Source organism: Homo sapiens, chromosome 20, assembly GCF_000001405.40.
Source record: "Homo sapiens chromosome 20, GRCh38.p14 Primary Assembly".
Classification (NCBI taxonomy): Eukaryota; Metazoa; Chordata; class Mammalia; order Primates; family Hominidae; genus Homo; species Homo sapiens.
Window position 1 is genome coordinate 39,092,440 of NC_000020.11, and position 19,707 is coordinate 39,112,146.

Genomic DNA, 19,707 nt, shown 5'->3' on the forward strand with positions numbered 1-19,707 from the left:
CCCTCATAGGACAGCAGCTAGAGCAATCTGTCCAAACTCAAATTCAACCGCCCTGTTTTCCTGAGAGGCAGTGGAAGTACAGTGATTATGAGCTTGGGCCCTGGAGCTCGCATGCCTGGCTTTGAATCCCAGCTCACTGCTTCCTCGCTGTCTGATCCTGGCCAAATCCTTTCACCTCTTGGAGGCTTGGTTTCTTCCTCCTCTATGAGATGAAGATGACAGCAGTGCCCAGCTTGCCTGTTTTTTTAAAGTGTAAGTGAGATGGATTTTAGGCCTATGCCTTGGAAGAAGGAGAAGGGAATGGTGAAGGAGCGGAAGTGGGAGTGTCTCTGATCCTTGAAGCCTTACTAGAAAGACAGGATAACTGGCTAACTTGGATTCAGCCCCTGCTTCTAGAAGCTCCTTAGGAAGTCTGGAGAGTGGCTGATCCATCCTGGGGCAGCTAGAGAAGCACTCATGGAAGAGAGGACATAGAAGATGGGGTGTTGTGGGTGAATAGGAGTTCTTCAGGTAGAGCCAGGGAGAAAGGACATTATTCCTGGCAGAGAACAGCTCATGCAAAGTAGTAGAGAAAGAGCATACTATGTGTTCAGGGAATGACTTGGAGTCAGTGAGAGGCCCTAGAGGGATGTGTTAGTTCAAATATGACAGAAGTATCTAATTAGATCTTTTCCTTAAATCAATTAAATCAGACTAACCCCTATCCCCCATCCATTGAATTAGCAGGAAATTCAATTTCAGTCACTACCAAGGCCCTGACCCTTCTGGGGTCCCAAATCCAGGTGCATCTGGCAAATCTTCTCATCTGTACTCCATGCAGCTGCCACAGCTGCCATCCTGTTTATCTGAGTGCACAGAGGTTCCTGAAGCCCATGACCCTCTCCCACGAGGCCCAACATCTGTGTCCAGGCGGGACATGCCAGGGCCTGGGGTCTTGCTCAGTGCATGGTGTGGCTGCCTCTTGGGTGTCTGGGGAGGACAATGAGTTGTGATGAGTCCTCACTCCTGTCTTGTCTGTGTAGCCTGGGAATAATTCCTCCTTTTTGGCCTAGGCCCTCTTTTCCTGACCCTCTGGCTCTGGGTCACCCCTCCAAGTCTTTTCAGTGGCTCTGAGCTTACTATAAAAGCCAGGAAGAAAATGGGCAAATGCTATTTTTTGTTCTACAAGATCCCAAGAGCAAGGGCATTCAAAAGGCTCTGGGTACCCGTTCAAAATGTGGAGAAAGAAGAGGGAACATGCACAAAAATCAATCTCTAAAAAAATTGGCTGGGCATGGTGGCTCACGCCTGTAATCCCAGCACTTTGGGAGGCCAAGGCAGATGGATCATCTGAGGTCAGGTGTTTGAGACCAGCCTGGCCAACATGGCGAAACCTTGTCTCTACTAAAAATACAAAAACTAGCCGGGTGTGGTGGTGGGCCTGTAAACTCAGCTACTGGGGAGGCTGAGGCAGGAGAATCACTTGAAGCTGGGAGGCGGAGGCTGCAGTGAGCAGAGATCGTACCACTGCACTCCAGCCTGGGTGACACAGTGAGACTCTGTCTCAAGAAACAAAAAACAAATTATGCTGCCATGGTATGATGCAGGAGGATGAGTGCCGTGGTCTGAATGCTGGCATTCCCCTAAATTCATATGTTGAACCCTAATCCCCAATGTGATGGTATGAGGAGATGAGGCCTTTGGGAGGTGATTAGGTCATGAGGGTGGAGCCCTCATGAATGGGATTAGTATAAAAGAGGTCCCAGAGAGCTGTCTTGCCCCTTTTACCATGTGAGGACACAATGAGAAGATGCCACCTAAGGGCCCCATTTCCTGGCTCATGCCTGACTCCAAATCTGCCAGTGCCTTGATTTGTACTCCCTAGCCTCCACAACTGGGAAATGAATTTCTCTTGCTTATAAGCCACCCGGTCTGTGGGATGTTGTTATAGCAGCCCAAATGGACTACAACATAGCAACTGAGCAGGGCATGATAGCTGAAGCCTCAATCTGCAGGGGTTTAAAAGTCAGGCTATCTAGCAGTGAGGACTTGACCCAGCTAGGGGAACCATGTGGTCAGATATGGGGCTTAGAGGTGGAGCTGAAGAAGATTCTGGAAGGATCATTTTAGTGGCTTCGGGATATTATAGTCTCTGAGACTGTTGATCTCTGGGGCAAAGACAAAGCCAGGGCTTAAGGTCAAAGCTCTTGAAGCTAAATCCTAAATCCCTCTGTCTTTCTCTTGGGATTATCCTGGGAGAATGCTGGAATAATAGAGATACCCAGAGGCTACTTTTGCCATTCTGTATCTGCAATATGTGTTGATGTCTCAAATCTCCTGTATTAGCTTGCTAGGGCTGTTCTAATCAAGTACAAGAGCCTGGGTGGCTGACCAGAGAAATGTATTTGTCTCACATTTCTGGAGTCCAAAATCAAGGTTGTCAGCAGGGTTGGTTCCTTCCGAGGGCCAGGAGGGAAGGATCTGTTCAGTTCCAGGCTTCTCTGCTTGGCTTGTAAATGGCCGTCCTCCCCCTGTGTCTCTTCACCTAGGCTTTCCTCTGTGCATGTCTGTGTCCATGTTTCTTCCTCTTAGAAGGACACCAGTCATATTGGATTAGAGCCCACAGCAATGACCTCATTTTAGCATGGTGACCTCTGTGAATAATTTTTTCTTTTCTTTCCTTTTTTTTTTTTTTTTTTTTTTGAGACAGAGTCTCGCTCTGTCAATCAGGCTGGAGTGCAATGGCGTGATCTGTGCTCACTGACACAACCACCTCCCAGGTTTGAGTGATTCTCATGCCTCAGACCCCTGAGTAGCTGAGATTACAGGTGTGCACCACCACACCTGGCTACTTTTTTTTTTTTTTTTGAATTTTTAGTAGAGACGGGGTTTCACCATGTTGGCCAGGCTGGTCTCCAACTACTGACCTCAGGTGATCCGCCCACCTCAGCCTCCCAAAGTGCTGGGATTACAGGCATGAGCCCCACCGTGCCTGACTATTTTATTTTATTTTATTTTATTTTTTTTTCGAGACAGGGTTTCTGTTGCCCAGGCTGAGTACAGTGGTGCTATCATGGCTCTCTGCAGCCTTGGCCTCCTGGGCTCAAGTGATCCCCCTGCCTCACTCTCCTGAGTAGCTGGGACTAAAGGCATGCACCACCACCCCCAGTCAATTTTTGATTTTTTGTAGAGACGAGGTCTCGCTATGTTACCCGGGCTGGTCTCGAACTCCTGGATGCAAGCAATCCTCCTGCCTTGGCCTCCCAAAGTGCTGAGATTACAGGTGTGAGCCACCGAGTTCGGCCTCAACTTCTGTAAAGATTTTCTCTCTAAATAAGATCACATTCTGAGGTACTGGAGGTTAGGACTTCAACCTATGAATTTTGGGGGATGCCATTCAACTCATAGGACCTCCAAACAAGCCTACAAAATGCAGAAGTGATGACTATTTTATAAATGAGGAGTTCCAGGTTGAGAGAGGTCAGGCAACTTGCTCAGGGTTTCAAAGCCAGCGAGGAATAGATGGGACTTAAACTCTGGTCTGCTGAGCTGTGCTGCAGCTGGGTGGGTCCCAGGGCCCCTGTGGAGGCAGAGAGCTGGATTCCTGCTGAAGCTGGACCCTGCTTGTCCCCTCCCCTGGATTTTTCCCAGGGCAGGCTTCTTAGCCTGCTGGAAGAAGGCAGGGAGGGGAGAGGAGGGATGTCATTCTGAGCATCACTTGGCCAGGCCTTTTGTCTCTCTGTTCATTGCCTGAAATGTGCTTGCATCTTATTACCCAAGCTAGGTAGATTTTTGCTTGGCTGAGCTGAGATCAAAAAGTAATTTTTCTTTTTGCAACAGCCAATTAGAAATTCATTTATTTTCACATTATGGACATTTGGCAAAAATTTCTTTGGCAATTTAGCTCCATTTATATAGTCTGCATAAAGGGAGACAGTGAGGCTAGGAGAAAAAAAAAAGGCAAGGCCGCGGGCAAAAATTAAATGCCGAATCATGTATTAGAAATGAGATGTATTTACTATTGTTTTTGAAAATTAATGGTGCATTTTTAGCTTTTATAATGTAATTTAATGATGCAATTCATCTAATAAAAAAGAACACATTTCAACTCAGTCATACAGACCTACTGGGGCACAGGGCGGAACACCTTTTCCATGGAAAGGGTTTGGAATGAAATGCTTGGGGCCTTTCTCTTTTTCTGTAAGGCAAAAAAGGAAAAGTGGTCTGTCTGTGTCTGTCTCTCTGTCTCTCTGTCTCTCTCTCTCTCTGTGTGTGTGTGTGTGTGTGTGTGTGTGTGTGTGTGTGTTGCCATTTGGAGTATCAGTGAGAATCTAATAAAAAGGACATTTTTCTTTTGCCATATTGGTGTTTGTGCTGTGTTATAGAAATCAGCCTTTGATTCTGGAATGTTAGAGGGTGTTGGCTGCCCCAGCCTGCTAAGCCCTAGATGGAAAGACCCTGGTGGGTGGGGAGGAGAAAATGGCCTTGGAGCTGTGTCGAGGTTGGTCCCCCCTGGACTCTGAGGGGGTGTGGGCAGACTGGGCATCCCTCCGGAGGAATTGGCCACACTTGCTGGATTTGGAACCCTGTGAGCCTCCTGGGTCCAATGCATCTCTCTCTCTTTCAAGTCCAAGGGCCTGATTTTCACTTGCCATTGCTCCCAATTTTGAATTAAGGCAAGAACGTCCCTCTTTTCGCAAAGAGGATGACTGGAAGAGAAACGAGGGCAGGGAGGGAGGGGGAGGCAGGGAGGGAGGTGAGGCAGGCAGGCCCTGACCGAGCTCCTAGGGTGAGTTGGGCACAGTGGCCACTGCTTTGTTGCGCTCCCACCCTGCCACTAGAATGTCAGCTCTTGAGGATGGAGTACATTTCCTGTCTTGTTCATACCGATCCCCAGCCCCACAGTATACCATATACACTCATTAGATACTTTTTGACTGCAGAGTGGCAGATAAACCCTGGGTTAAATACATTATGTAAATGTCTGCTTAACTCTCACTCCAATACCATGAGAAGGTGGGTACCACGACTACCTTGTTTAATAGGAGGGGACACATTGGCTCAGACAAGTTAGGGAACTTTCTGAAGTTCACTCATCTGTTAAGTGGCAGGGCTGAGACCTAACCCATGACTATCTCACTCCCAAGTACTTGCTCTTAACCACACCAATGTATGCAGTGAATGAAAGAATAATGTTAAGTATGAATGACAGGAGGGCTGGCCTTTCTGAAGGTTACCAAACCAAGGGGCTGGGATTTGAATTCAAATTTTTTGATTCCAAGTTAAGAACTTCTTTCTGGGCTGGGCACAGTGGCTCACACCTGTAATCTCAGTACTTTGGGAGGCTGAGGTGTGCAGATCACTTGAGCCCAGGAGTTTGAGACCAGCCTGGGCAACATGGCAAAACCCCGTCTCTACCCAAAATACAAAAATTAGCCAGGCATGGTGGCAGGTGCCTGTAATTCTAGCTACTTGGAAGACTGAGGAGGGAGCATCACTTGAGCCCAGGAGGTTGAGGCTGTAGTGTGGAGGATTGTGCCATTGCACACCAGCCTGGGCAACAGGAGCAAGACTGTCTTAAAAACAAAACATAAAAACAAAAAACTTTCTGCTACCCTATGTACCCTCAGCAGGAGGGAGGAAGCTGTGGATAGGAAAAGGAGTTTGGCAGGAGTTCAAGGTTACAGTGAGCTTTGATCGTGCCACTGCACTCTAGCCTTGGTGACAGATTGAGACCCTGTCTCTTAAAAAAAAATAAAAAGAAAAGGGGCTTTGGGGCAGGGGGAAGATGAGGGCCATTAGCGTGGGAGGCCAGGGGACACATAGGCCTAGGGGTCTTCCAGGCATGGCGATCCCTGAGGGAGGTGACCAGGGATAGGGTATATAGTTATCCCAGGGGTCAAAGGAAATGCCCAAACCATTTGTATTCATTTGTTCAGTGATTATTTACTGAACATCTATCAGATGCCTAGGACTCACCTGACCTTTTGCAGCTTGAATTTCCTCACTTGTAAAACAAGGTGAATCCTTCAAAGTATTTCTTGACAAGGCGCACTGTTGGTGTTTTGAATGGAACAATCTTACTCCTCGGTCTGAATGGCACTTCCCCACCCTCCCACACACGTGGTGTTCTCTGATCATGGGGAGATTCCTAAATGCTCCCAGATACCCTCCTCGAATGGAAACAGAGGCTTTGTAGGGCTGCTGGGAGGACTCAACAGGACAAGCTGCAGGAAGGCGCTGTGAACAGCCTGGTGCACAGGAGGCTTGTCATGCTTCCTTTGACATCTCCCTTTCCCTTGCCTCTCTCCCTTTCTCCTTCCTCCAGCCCCACAAATCTGCTCTGAGCATCATTTTGAGCCATTGACCCTGCTGCTACCCAGCCAGGCTGTCAGTCAGCTCCCTCCTCCTGCCTCCACCTCCCTCTGCTCCCCTGTCCTCGCAGACCTGCGCCTGGCTGCAGTCCCTGCACGTGGGCTCAGCAGCTGTGGACATTCTGCCACCCCAGCCACCGGCCCCAGCATGACCCAGGCCCTGCCCTGTCACTGAACCTTGGCGGGAAGGTCAGTTATTTCCTTCCTTTTTAGGAGGAGAGCTCTGCCCTTTGGGTGCCTGCCCTGGTGCTGTACCAGCCTCGGATCTGGGATTTTTGCATTTTGGGGCTGCCTAGAGAAGTTGCCAAGCAGGCATGGTAAATAGGCCTCTGAGTGTTTGGAGTCTAGAACTCCACTGTCCGATTTGGTAGCCACTAACTGTATGTGGGTCCCGAGCACTTGCAATGTGAATTGGGGTGTGCTGTAGTGTAAAACACACATGGAATTTGAAGGCTCTAGTGCCCTTGGGGTGCAAGCAGCTGAGTGTCACACCTCTTTATTTTATTTTCTTGGATTTGATTCGGGGTGGCTGGGCACTAGATTGGCCCAATATCAGTTACATAGGATGATCCCTTCCCCTGTTTGAGCCATGTAAATCCATAAACTTGGATATATCCTCACCAGACTCCCAGAGTTGGGATTCTGATTGCCAGCCCTGTAACACCAGAGCCTCTTCACTTCCAAGGAGCAGAGGGGGCTTCAAAAGGGAACATGCACACCCTCTCCCTCTTCCTAGGTCCCAGGACTTCTAGGGAAACCCTTTCCATCCCCTGATGCCCAGCTGAAGAGCCAGGGATGGGGATCGAGGGCTTCTTCCGTGGAATCTCAGAGCACTTGACAGACCCTGTGTGTTTCATTCCAGACTTTTTGCCCACTGCCCTTCTTGGCCTGAGCCCCTGGATGGCTGCACACTGCCCGATGCACTTTTGTGCCTCCCTGGGCCAGGCACAAGTCTCACACCCAGTGGTGTGGTTCAAAGTGAATTGAGGTTGTCAGTTCTGCAGAGGCATTTTTGCAAAGGCCCTGCATGGAGGTGCCAGGTATGAAACTGATTTAAATCACATCCTGGAGCCCCCAAGCAGGTAGGAGCTGGTGGCAGAAGTTTCCATGTCTTAGTACAGGTCCTCTGCCTCTGACACACATGCTGAGGGACACCTATGTGGTGATTCAAGGGAATCTTGCACCCACTGGGCTCTGTGCTGCATGCTTTATACACATGTGCTCACATTATCTTCTCAACAACTGTACTTGGTAAGGCTACAATGATCCTCACTTTGCAGATGAGAAATTGAGCTCCCGAGAGGTTATAAAAAACTGGCTGAAGTCACACAGCTGGCAAGAGGCAAAACTAGTATTGGTCCTCAAGTTGTGTGACCCTAGAACCACAATATAGCAATTCTGCTTCTCACAGGTACACATGTACAGACCCAAAGACACATGGAAATACAAAGACATAGGTATACATAGATGAACATGCATATATAAAATGCAGAGATCCATATAGATATGCGGACAGACATATATGGACATACCCACGTTCCCATGGCTACTCAGATATAAAAATACTCCTATCCATGTACCCACATTCATACCTCCATGTATACTATGCACATACCTATGCATACACCTCATATACAAATATACACATGGCTACTCTGACATAAAGGTATACACACATGCACACACTACACATATTTGCACTTGGACATGACCACAAATATGCAGAGTTGAAAGTCCCCCCTCCTACCACACACACAAGCATATAGTGAGGCTTGTATACCCAGATATTTAACTCCTGCAGAAACACACACACACACACACACACACACAATCTTGACACACTTCTAAGAACGCCTGCCCCCAGGTATACAGAACAGCCCCTCCCCCAGTATACACTCACAGGCACTCACTCAAGCCCAATGATCCAATTTAAACTGAAAAGGGAAAACCAAGTTGAAAATTAGAGGGGAAAAAAAAAGTCCTTCAGAAAGTATAAAGCTAATAGGCTGCAAGTGGTGAGCCTGCTGCCTTCACGATATCAATAACTCAGTATTGGATTTCCAAAAAGACATCACATAATTTTTCAATGAGAAATCCATGAGCCCTGGAGATGCTGTTATGGTGTGAATTACAATGCACACGCTTGTCAGCCGTCCCCGTCAGCACTTTCTCGGATGCCTTAACGGGCAGGAAGTGCTGTGGCTGCAGCAGGGATGGTTATTGTTATTATTTCTTCCTTTTGGAGCCTCAAATTAAGAACCTGGGAAGCCAGCAGGTCCCTTTCTCCTCCCTCCCCTCCTCCAATTGTACCCAAATCAAGAAGTTTTCCTGCTTGATATATTCTTTAGTGTATTCTTCAGCTCTCAGCCTCCCCTCCCCTGTCCTGGAGCCCTAATTCTGGGAGAGACTGACACCTGGGGCTTAGGAACTAGGGTCAGGATACGTGGGTGGGGGCCACCCTCTCTATGGAGCTCGGGCTTGTTTAAGACTTCCTTGAGTGTTGTGGAAATGATAAAAACTGCTTTTCCATTTCCGTCACTTGGACCCAGGGATTTTTTATTGAGCAGAATCAGCCTATTGGGCATTGCTTTCTCCTGAGGTTGCCTTCGGGGCAGGACTTTGGTTCAGTAAGAAGAGCAGGGGTCCCTGGGAGGGATGTCAGGAATGATCTGGACAGAGGGCATAGGGCATCTTTCCTGAGCATATTTAGGAGGAATTTGGGTGGCCAAGAGAAAGGATCTGAGCAGACCACCCAGGAGTAGGAAAAGGGGGCTTGGGCACTAGGGGTGGGGTTGGGGTGGATTGTGGAAATTGTTTTATTCAGCTCAACTCTCCTGGGCTTTTCCCATTCACCATGAAAAGAAGATCCTCCAATTAGTCACTGGTCCCAGAGTGTGAGCCCCATGGAACATACCTGAAAGTGACCTGCAGTCAGGAGCAAAGCCAGTCCTGCTGACTGCAGACCCACGAGTATTGTATACCGTTGAGCCACTTGGGGCTGTTTGTTATGCAGCATTATGAAACAGAAATCTGAGGAGCACAGGGACTTCTCCGTACCTTCATGACTCCCTGGGCTGAGCCCACTGTAGCACTGTGGCTCGTGGTCTAGAATCACCTCTGTCTCTAACTAGTATGAGGTTTAGGGGTTAAGAGTGGAATCCCAGTCTCTGGGTTCAAATTCTGGTTTTGATTATAGTATTGGATAAGTCATTTAACTCCTTTTTGTGTCACTGCCCATTTCATAGTCTCCCGTTTCTCCATGCATCATTCGGGTGGGGACCAGAGGCACCTAGCCCTCAAATCAGGAAAAGGGTGACTCCTTCCCTGGCAGCCATCCCTCCAGCCTGCTCAACAGCCAGACTCCAGCTTCACATGCCTTTTTGTGCCTCCAGGCCATCGGTCAGGTTGTCCCCTTCCTGAAGCTTCCTTCTCACCCTGACAGCTTCTCCAGATCCCTTGAGGCCTGGATTCAAATGTCACCTCTTTTCCCTGAGCATCCTGAAGCAGATGACAGTTGCCCAAACCTCTCCTTGTCACTCCTGGATTGTGCTGTGCTGTGGTTATTTGCTTGTTGCCTTCAGGCCTGGGATGGGCTGGGACTGATCAGTTGACCCTCTGGCTTCTTGCCAGAGTTTTTAGCAGGAGACACACAGCATCCTGTACCCTCCGTCTCTTCCTCCCCTACTGAGACTTGATGCACCCCTCACCAAGGGAAGGTGAACTGATCCTGCCTGCTAAGTTGCTCAGTACATAATTACATACCTATCACGGCATGGGGCTTTTCGGTGTACTTATCCCAGCCCTGATCTCCAGGGTGGGTATGCGGGATGGAGGCAGGGAAGAAGTGCTGAGCCCTTGCCTGTGGGAAGGAAGAGGAGGGTGATGTCAGGAGGCAGCAAGGCCCTGAGGAGGAGGGATGGGGGGTCACCTGCTGGGTGAGCTGGCCTGGGGTTCCCTGGGAGCTTGGGCCCTTCATTAACAGTTTGAGGCACGGAGACCTCAGGTCTGGACTTCTTCCACCACTGACTCACTTCTTGTCTGGCTTGAAGTCTACATTCAAATATGTTGTTTCCTTTCCCTGAGCATCCCAAGCAGATATTAGCCCTGCACCTGAAGCTCCCAAGTTCCCTCCATATCTTGGTGACACTCAAGTACCATACTCTGAAATGGCGGGGTGGGATGGGGGGCATCAAAAGACACTAGAACTTTGATTTCCAGTTTTCTACATTCCATAGGCAAGTAAAATAAAACAAATGAAATACCCAGAGGAGATACCCTTATGTAAAGAGCAGGCCATATCTTTTCTAAGTAATGATGTATAAAACAGCTGTCTTCTTTTATTATTACTATTTCACAAAAGAAAGAATAGTTTAATAGTAAAAACTGGGAGAAAGATATGGTCTCAGAATTAAGCTTCTCCCAAGAAAGGAGAGGGAGCAATGGTGCACAAATGTGAATATCATCTATATTGTGGAGAAGATGTTAGAGCAAAAGAGAAATTGCTAAAGTATTCAACAGAGAAATATCAAATGCCCCTAAATAAAATGTATAGATTGGAGGAAGAAATTTTCAGTGTGTGCAGAAACGATGATGATGATGATGAGGATGAGGATGATGGAGGTGATGATGGTAAGGACGATGATGATGAAGATGGGGTGGTGATGATGAAGGTGGACATGGTGATGATGATGGTGATGAAGATGGAAATGGTGGTGGTAATTATGGCGATGAAGATGTTGGTGGCTGTGGTGATGATGGTGCTGGAGATGGCGATGGTGATGGTGCTGATGGTGATGATCATGGAGATGGTGATGGTGTTAATGATGGTGCTGGAGATGACAGTGGCAATGCTGATGATGGCAATGGTGATGGTGATGATGTCTGACCTTTGTTGAGCTCCTACTGGGTAATAGGTACTGTACTCCATGGATTATCTTATTTAAGACTTAACCCCATGTATTATATTCCTGAAGCCGCTGCAACAAATTACCACAAACTAGGTGATGTAAGACAACAGCAATTTATTCTCTTATAGTTCTGGAGACCAGAAGTCTGAAATCAACTCTGGGCTGCACTCCCTCTGGAGGCTGTAGGGAAGAATGCTTCCTTGCCTCTTCAGCTTCTGGTGGCTGCCAACATTCCTTGGCTTCCTTGGCTTGTGGCCACATCACTTCAATTTCAGTCTCCCTTTTCACACTGCCTTCTCCTTTGTGTATGTCCTCTTCTGACTTATATAAGGACATTTGTCTCTGGATTTAGAGCTTATTCAAGTAGTCTGTGGTGATCTCATCTCAATATCTTTAGCTTAATTTCATCTGCCAAGGTCTTTTCTCCAAAAATAAGATAATATTCACAGGTTCCAGGGACATGGACATATCTTTTTTTTGAGGGGTCACTGTTCAACCCACTGTATCCCATTTTATAGGCAAGGAAGCTGGATGTCAGATTCTTTAAACTAGGTAAAAGTTGTACAATGATCAAATGGCAAAGAAAGAATCTGAATCTGACTCTAGAGCCTTGGGACTTCATCCTTATGGAGACAGGGTAAAGAAGAGAGGCTGTGTGGAACATTTACCTCCCATCTGTGTGTGGGGGAGAGGAGGTGCTTCAAGGCCATGTCAAGCTCTTCAAGGCCATGTGATGTAGGAGGGCTGGATTTGGTCTTAGGTAACAGGCTCCAAGGTTTAGAGCCAGCAGGTCACAAGCAGAGGAGGTAGGGGTTCGGGGGGTGGGGGTAGTTAGAGAAAGGGCAGATCCATGATTTGGGGGACTTCTTAGGGAGCAGAATTACAGAGTGTATGATCATGTCACCAAGCCCAGATGAGAGATGGCTTAGAGGAGAGCAGATTATAGAAATCGAGATGGAAAATGGGGAAGGGATAAAAATGAGTCAATTTGGTCTAAAAGCAGTGGACAAAGAATCCATAATGTATGAGGAAGTAAGTAGATATCTACCCATGTGTCATTTATAAATTCTTTCTATAACAGAGCACCTACCTGGATCACATGAAAGGATGCTAAAATTTACAGAAACAGGTAAAGAGGCATATTTTGGGGGTAAAGAACAGCAATATTCATTTGCTCTGTGGGACATTGCTCACATTTACTCACAGTAGCTTCCTGTGAATACTTACCTGTCTCCTGTGAGATCTTATGGGGGCAGGGTGGGCAGAGTCAACTTAGACATGTTGAAAGCTGTCCACACTTCTTCCCTCTGGGGCTGGAAACCTCAGCTTGAGAAGGAAAGGAGAGAGCTGGGTTTATAACATCTTGGGATGGTTCAAGAAGGAGCTCACGCCTGTCTTATGCCCAGGGCAGGTGTGATCTCTTCTGGGTGTCTCCCTAGAGACTCAGTTCCGCCTTTGGGGAAATAAGATGTCAATGCCATGGGGCATATGTGCCTTGTCCATGAGGCATGGGTGCCCTGTCCATGGAACACAGGCACTCTGTCCATGGGGCATAGGAGCCCTGTCCGTGGGACACAGGCACCCTGTCCATGGGGCATAGGAGTCCTGTCTGTGGGACACAGGCACCCTGTCCGTGGGGCATAGTGACCTTGTCCAGGGGGTGATGCTGTATTCGCCTTGTCTTCAAGGATTCTGATGCCTACCACAGCAGACTGCAGACTTTCGTTTCAGCTGAAACGTCTCTACCTTTATGTGTTGGTTTTCACATAAGAATTTATTTAAGACAAGAGATGAACAAAGTTTCCAGAGTACAGCATGATAATGATCTGTCTGGGAATACTTATTTTTCCTGCGTGACCCCAGGCAGACCTAGGGCCTATCCAGTGTGGTCACATATAGTTACAAAGGCCATGCCCTAATAGCCCCTGGGGTTCCCCTTCACATGTCAGCAATGTGAACTGCACCACCAAGAGATGTGAAGTGTGCTGGTCCTGGATCTGCCTCTAGCTTTGACTGTGCACCCCGGGGTCCCCAGGCTTGGTGCTCCCTCTAGTGGCAGGGTAGTTGTGGTCTGTAAGCTCTCAGTCTTGTGATGCCATCAGGAGCTCCAGAACTGGGAACAAGTTTTGGGGAGCCTGCATCCCTGGTCTGACTTGAGCATTCATGAGTTCATGCCCGTAATAAATACTGAGCGCCTTACTGTGTGCTGGCATTGTGCTTATCACAAGAAGAAAAGATCCCTCCCTCCCGAAGGAGCATCTAATCTACTGGGAGAAACAGACTATGAGGAAGAACACGAATAAATGTGTGATTAAGATTTGTGACCAATGCTATGAAGAAAACAAATAGAGTGCTGACATAGAGACAAGGGGTGGGGGTGACAACTGAGACAGAGGCATTAGGGGAGGCCTCTCTGGAAGGTGACCTTTGAGCTGAGATCTGAGGGATGAGGTGATTGCATGAGAAGAGGTAGGTAAGAGTGTCCTAAGCAGAAGGAACAGTGAGTGCCAAGGCCCTGGGACAGAAGAGGGCATTGCATGTCCAAGGAGCCACAGGAAGCCCATTATGGTTGGAGGGTCATGGGTAGGAGGGCCTGAAGCTTCAGAAGACATCCAGATGAGGCTGCAGTCAGGTGGATGCAGGCATCCAGATGAACCCTCGTGCTCTGTCTCTGAATCCCTACCAGTGGAACCGAGTGTGAGGAGTTAGGGGTTAGCAGAGTGTTAGAGGGAGCCTAGAGAGGAGGGCTCTTAACATTTCCAGGGAATTACCAAATGTCTCCCACTGAGCTGAGGAGATTCTGGGCCGTCTCCAAAAGTATATTCCAGAAGGGAAGCTACCTTAACATTAGTTAAGGTAATTCTATTTCCTGTAACAGAACCCCCCGCCAGATCTCAGTCACTTAATATCCTAGAAGTCTAATTCTCACATTAAGTCCACTTTGGTGTTTGGCAGGTGACTTTCTCTGTGGTGATGCAGGGACCCAGGCACCCGCCATCTTTTAGCTCTGCCATCTCTTAGGATCTTGGAGTCCTTCCCTTCCATCTGGCGAGCAGTGAAAACAGCATGTAGAGCTTTGCACAGGAGGTTTTTGTGGACTGGGTTTAGATGTGTCTATGACTTGCATTTGGGTGTGGCCAAGTAATCCAGTTACTGAATTACTGGGAAACAGAATCTACATGGATGCCCTCCAGGTAGAGGAATTGGGTGCTGGTGAACACACAGTCATCTCTGCCCCAGGCCTCTCTTTGAGTGACAGCAACAGTATGGACCAGAAGCTTTGTGCTGTGGCTTCACATTCAAGCCACTTGGGCGGCTGCCAGCCTCCTATCCCAACTGATTAAATCAGATTCCCCGGGAATGGGGCCTGGGCATCTGTATTGTTGAAAGCACCCCAGGACGTTGCAGCACACAGCTGAGGTTCAGGACCACCCTGAATGGTGGAGAGAGGAGCTTCTGGGACAGCAGTCACAGCTGGGCCCATCCTTCTTCCTGCTCAATAATCATCATTATGCCTTATTATCTTCTTACCAGGTGACAGGCTAGAGTGGCAGGAAGGAAGACAAAAGAAGTTATTTACAAATAAAATGGTCGGTCTTCCGCATTCTAGGGCAGGGGCTGCCTTCATCTCAAATGTGGGAGGCTCTTTGGCAGTGGGCAACAACTTTAATGGCTCCTCATGGTTGAGACAGGTGAACCTTACCTTGGCAGGTCTAGATGGTGAGAGCAGGAGAAATAGATAACTCCATTGTTCAGCTTGGGTAGAATTATGAGATTCCCAGGAAATAATGTGAGAAAGAGAAGGTAAGTGTTCCATGTTAAAAGAGTAGAAGGAAGATGTCAGAGAGTGGGTCGGGGGTAGGGAGACAGAGAGCAAGAGCGAGTGAGAGACAGAGAGATTGAGTCTATGGTAAGCAGTCATGGCTCATGGAAAGAGGGGACAATGAGAAATTCCCTGTGGCAGGAATGACCAATATACTCCTAGGAAGTATCGTGTCCAGCATTAAATTTGAAGTTGTTCTTTGTTCTATAATTGTTTTCCTACCCATAAACGTTTAATAAGTCTCCTATGTACAACAGCCTTGTATTAATGAAGTCTTGAAGGACTGAAGGAAGGAAGAAGTGTGCAAGTTAGAGTTCTTATTTAGCTTCAGGCAGGGAAAAATGGAAAAATGGATTCTGACTAAGCAGCAGAGGAATTTATTATTGGGTAAGCCAGTGACACTGTGACACAGGGACTCATACAAGTCACCCTTCAACCACTGGGTGGATGTGGCTGGCCTTTAGATAACCTCTTACTCGGTCTCTTCAAAACATCTCTTTCCTTCCGTCCTTCTGATATGATGCGCAAGAGCAGATGAGGGCAGGGATGGCAAACGTGAGCCCTTCTACTTCATCCTTGGCAGACATCACTAACTGATCTCTGTGCAAGTTCTTATGGAGCTCAGGGGCAGCTCCCTGGACCCTTTATATTTCCTGTTCCGGGCAGTCATTACTAACAGATCACAGATGATATGTGAAATACAATTTACTTCTGTTCCAGGGTCCATATGACACCTCTTTCAAGGCAATGTGTGTGCAATTTAAATGACACTATCTGTCTCTCAGCCCAAAGCAGCTGAGGATTCCATGTCCCAGGGACAAAGAGTTGCCCATCCTGGGGGCCCACTGCTACGGATCTTGCAGAAACTCAAAGGCTGCCATTCATTCTTGGGATGCTAGTCTTGGGGCAGAGCGGGAAGACAACTCGCTTGGGTGTTACAACCTCCTGACCCCAGCTTCCTTTGGAATGTGGCACCCCAAGCCTGCCTCTCCTGACTCCCAGTCTGTGGGTTCCACTCTGCTCTGATTTCATGATGCATCCTGACTTCATGGGTTCTAAAAACAATTATTTGCTAGCTTTGTGCCCACCCCTTACTTTCAATCAGGCCCAGGGTGGCAGAGAGTCATGGGGCTGCCAGTTTTGGCCAGGCTGGACTGGGGAGGGGATCGGCTACCCCTAAAGGAAAAGCTCTTCCAGCCAGGAATTGCCTTTCTCTTCCTAATGTGAGATAATTGGTTTCCTTTTTACCTAGTTCCTCCACAGCCTTCGTAATTACTGCCAAACCCTTGTCCCTCGACTTTGGCATTCCCACCAATGGACTTTTTTCCAAAGGGAAAGAGAAAAAGGCAAGAAGACTCAGAATGAAGGCCTGGGCTGGATTTACCTCCTGAGTCATCACCTACTCTCTGTGTGACCTTGGGCACGTTACTCACTTCTCTAAATTGTCCTCCCTAACTAACAGCTTCCTGCTGGAATTTTGAGAGGATGAGGTGATTTAAATGCTTAGCTCAATAGCGCATGGTGTGGCTAAACACTCGGGTGAATACTAGTATTGTTTCTTGTTACCTTTGTGCCTGGTGGTTTGGGCTGGGGTGTGAGGGTCAGGCTTTGGGGTGCTGGTTGGGGACTTGTGCCTTCTCTTTTTCTTTCCCCAAAGCTTCTGGAACTAAGCTCTCCCTCATCTCTTCAAGGAAGATGTGACACCAAGTGTGTTTTAGCAGAAACAAGACCCATATAAGTGATCCACTGAGGGGCCAGCAGGCTAATATGATGTTCTGAAAAGGGGCATTTTATTTTGTCAAATTGCTCTGGGGCTGCTGAACTTTGGTGGCTGTTTCTTGGCAGTGTTTCTGGACATCTTGTTCGCAGGTGATGAGAGGAAGGGCTGCCCTGACATCTTGTACAGGTGAGGGGGCTGGAGGCTTCCTTCCTGCGCGTTCCAGCCAGTGCCCCGCCTGCAGTGGGGGAGACATTTTTTCACCCGGTTCAATGTGCGGGAGGAGGAGGGTGAGGTGGGGGCATGGGTAGAGGGGCCAGTGGGAGGAGTCCCCCCCACAGAGTCCTCTGTTAGAACAACCCAGAAGTCCCCCTCCCCAGCTTGGGGAGCCTCCAGGGCCCGTTCCCACCCCAGCAGCCCCCTCCCCAGCTGGGGGAGGCTCCAGGGCCTGTTCCCACCCCAGCAGCCCCCTCCCCAGCTGCGGGAGCCTCCAGGGTATGTTCGCACCCCAGCAGCCCCCTCCTCAGCTGGGGGAGCCTCCAGGGCCGGTTCCACCCCGGCAGCCCCCTCCCCAGCTGGGGGAGCCTCCAGGGTCTGTTCCCACCCCAGCAGCGTCTAGGCTCGCTTCCTGTCTCCCCGTTTTCTTAAAAGCTGTGTGTCAGCACAGGAGTGGCAGGTGTGTTAACTCCCGGAGCCTGCGCCTGTGCCCCAGCATGGGAAGAAAAATGCCGACTCGGAGAGAATCAGAGTCAGGCGCTGGCACTAGCCTTGGGGGCAGGAGAGAGTTGGTCGAAAGGAAGTGTTGGGAGAAGGCCAGGTGGCTGGTACTGAGGTACCCACGCCTGCTTCCTCTGCCAGGAAGAGAGACCCCCCACTAAGGTAACTGTGAGAAGTAGGGCACTGTCTCCCTCCCTCCCTCCCTCCCTCTTTCCCTCTTTCCCTTTTTTTCCTTTCTTCCTTCCCTCGTTTCCTCCCATTTTCCCCCTCCCTATTTCCATTCCTTTTTTCCTTTCCTCCCTCCCTCCCTCCCTCCCTCCCTTCCTTCCTTCCCCCTTTCTCTCCCTCTCTTCCTTCCTTTTTGCCCTCTGTCCTTTTTCCCTTCGGTCCTTCCTTTTTTGTTCATTTCTGCACTCCCCCTCCTCCCCTTCCTTTCCTTCTCTCCTCTTCTCTTCCTTTCCCTCTCTCCTATTCTCTCCCTTCCTCCTTTCCCCCTCTTCCTTCTCTCCCACCTCCCTTCCTTCCTGTTTTCCTCATTTGCATCCCTGCTTCCCCTGTGCTCTCCCTCCTGTCCTCCCTCCTCTTTTCTTGTCTCTTTCCTTTCTCTTCCCCTTCTTCCTCTCTCCTCTTCCTTCCTCCCTGCTCGCACCATGCCACTCAATGCTCCAAGCTGGACACAGCTGCAGGGAAATAGCCTCAGCCCTGGCCCCCAGGAGCTTCCACCTAGTGGGAGCCAGGCAGGTGGACAGGTGATGATCCTGTCACGTGATCCACATGCTAATGAAGATCTGGGCTGGTCTCCTGGGAGCTTTGCTGGGTCTGGAGGGGTAGAGAAAGCCCTCACAGAGCAGGAGACCTCTGGCCTGGGTCTGATAGTTTCTCTGGCTGAGTCAAAAGAAAGGGGCATTGTAGGCAGAGGGAAGAGCTTGCACAAAGTAGGGGGACATGGTCAATGAATTCTTATGCAAATTTGGAATTGGACAAGCCTAGGCTTGAGCCACTGTCAGTATAACCTCTGCCCAATCATTTCAGCCTCTCTCAGCTTCTCATCTGTAAAATGGGGTATGTTAGTACTCATGATGCCCTGGGATGTTTGGGGAACAGAATTAGCTCTTGCATCTGAAAATATCTAGCACTATGTGTCTTATCACATTTTACCCTCATGTCAACCTGGGGGGCCGGGTACAATTATATCTTAATTTTACAGTTCTGGAAATGGTGGCTCAGAGAAGTTGAGCAGCCTGTCCAAGTTCACACAGCCAGGTAGATTGAAGACACAAATGTAGGCAGCCTGATTCCCAAGCCCGAGTGTTTAATAACAATCTCTCCAAAGTCAGCACATACACTTGGAATAAAACTAACACATCAGGTGCCTGCTCTGTAAAATGAGGTTGCACAAACCTGGCAGGATGACAGGGATAACTCTCCAGAGCTGGAGGGGCCATGGGGGATGCACTTTTGATTTTTATGGCTTCTCAGGGTCCCACCAATTGTACTGTCTTAGCCTGTGTCTGGTTGGTGCAGGAAAAAGGAGGATGGGCAGTGGAGCAGGAGGAAGAAGGGGGAGGAAGAGCGAGGGAGGAGGGTGCATTGGAGGGAGCAGGAAGAGGAGGAGAGGGAGGAGGGAGAGGGGAGGAAGGAGGGGGGAGGAGGAGGATAGAGAGGAGAGGAGGAGGGAAAGGGGAGGAGGAAGGGGAGGAGGAAGGGGGAGGGGAGGGAGAGGAGGGGGAGGAAGAGTGGGAGGATAGAAAACGGGAGGAGGGGAAAGGGAGGAGGAAAAGGGGAGGAGGAGGAGGGGCAGGGGGAGGAAGAGGGGAAGGGAAGGAAGGGAAGGAGGGAGGGGAAGGGAAGGAGGAGGAGGAACTCTCTGACCCTACTCCCGAATCTGATTCTGTCCCTCTTTTCCAGTTCCCTGCACTGAGGTGTTGGAAATCCAGCTTTCCAGTGGAGGCTGCCTGGGTTTCCATCCTTGTAGCTGTGCTTTTTCTGTTCCTCTGGGACTTTTCTTCCCTTGACCCCCTTTCTTTCAGGAGCTCTTGGTCTTGTCTGAACAGCTTTTGTCTAAGAAGCCTCACAGACTGCCCTGGGCACCCTTTCCTTCTCCTTGCTCTGGCCTCTACTGTCAGTCTCTCCTCTCTGTTCTCCCTCTCTTCCCATCCTTCCAAGAAGGTGAACCGTGGGACTTCTGAG

At 49.0% G+C, this 19,707-nt stretch overlaps 2 annotated features.

Annotated features, from left to right (window-relative positions):
* Positions 15,075–16,274: an enhancer, noted in NCBI's record as "BRD4-independent group 4 enhancer chr20:37736157-37737356 (GRCh37/hg19 assembly coordinates)". NCBI's record gives its function as "activates an origin of replication core promoter dependent on BRD2, P300/CBP, MED14 and CDK7 cofactors, and independent of BRD4, by STARR-seq in HCT116 cells {active_cell/tissue: HCT116}" and the evidence as "EXISTENCE:reporter gene assay evidence [ECO:0000049][PMID:35650434]".
* Positions 16,752–17,746: an enhancer, noted in NCBI's record as "H3K4me1 hESC enhancer chr20:37737834-37738828 (GRCh37/hg19 assembly coordinates)". NCBI's record gives its function as "activates a minimal SCP1, AML or CMV promoter by ChIP-STARR-seq in naive H9 embryonic stem cells {active_cell/tissue: H9 hESC(naive)}" and the evidence as "EXISTENCE:reporter gene assay evidence [ECO:0000049][PMID:30033119]".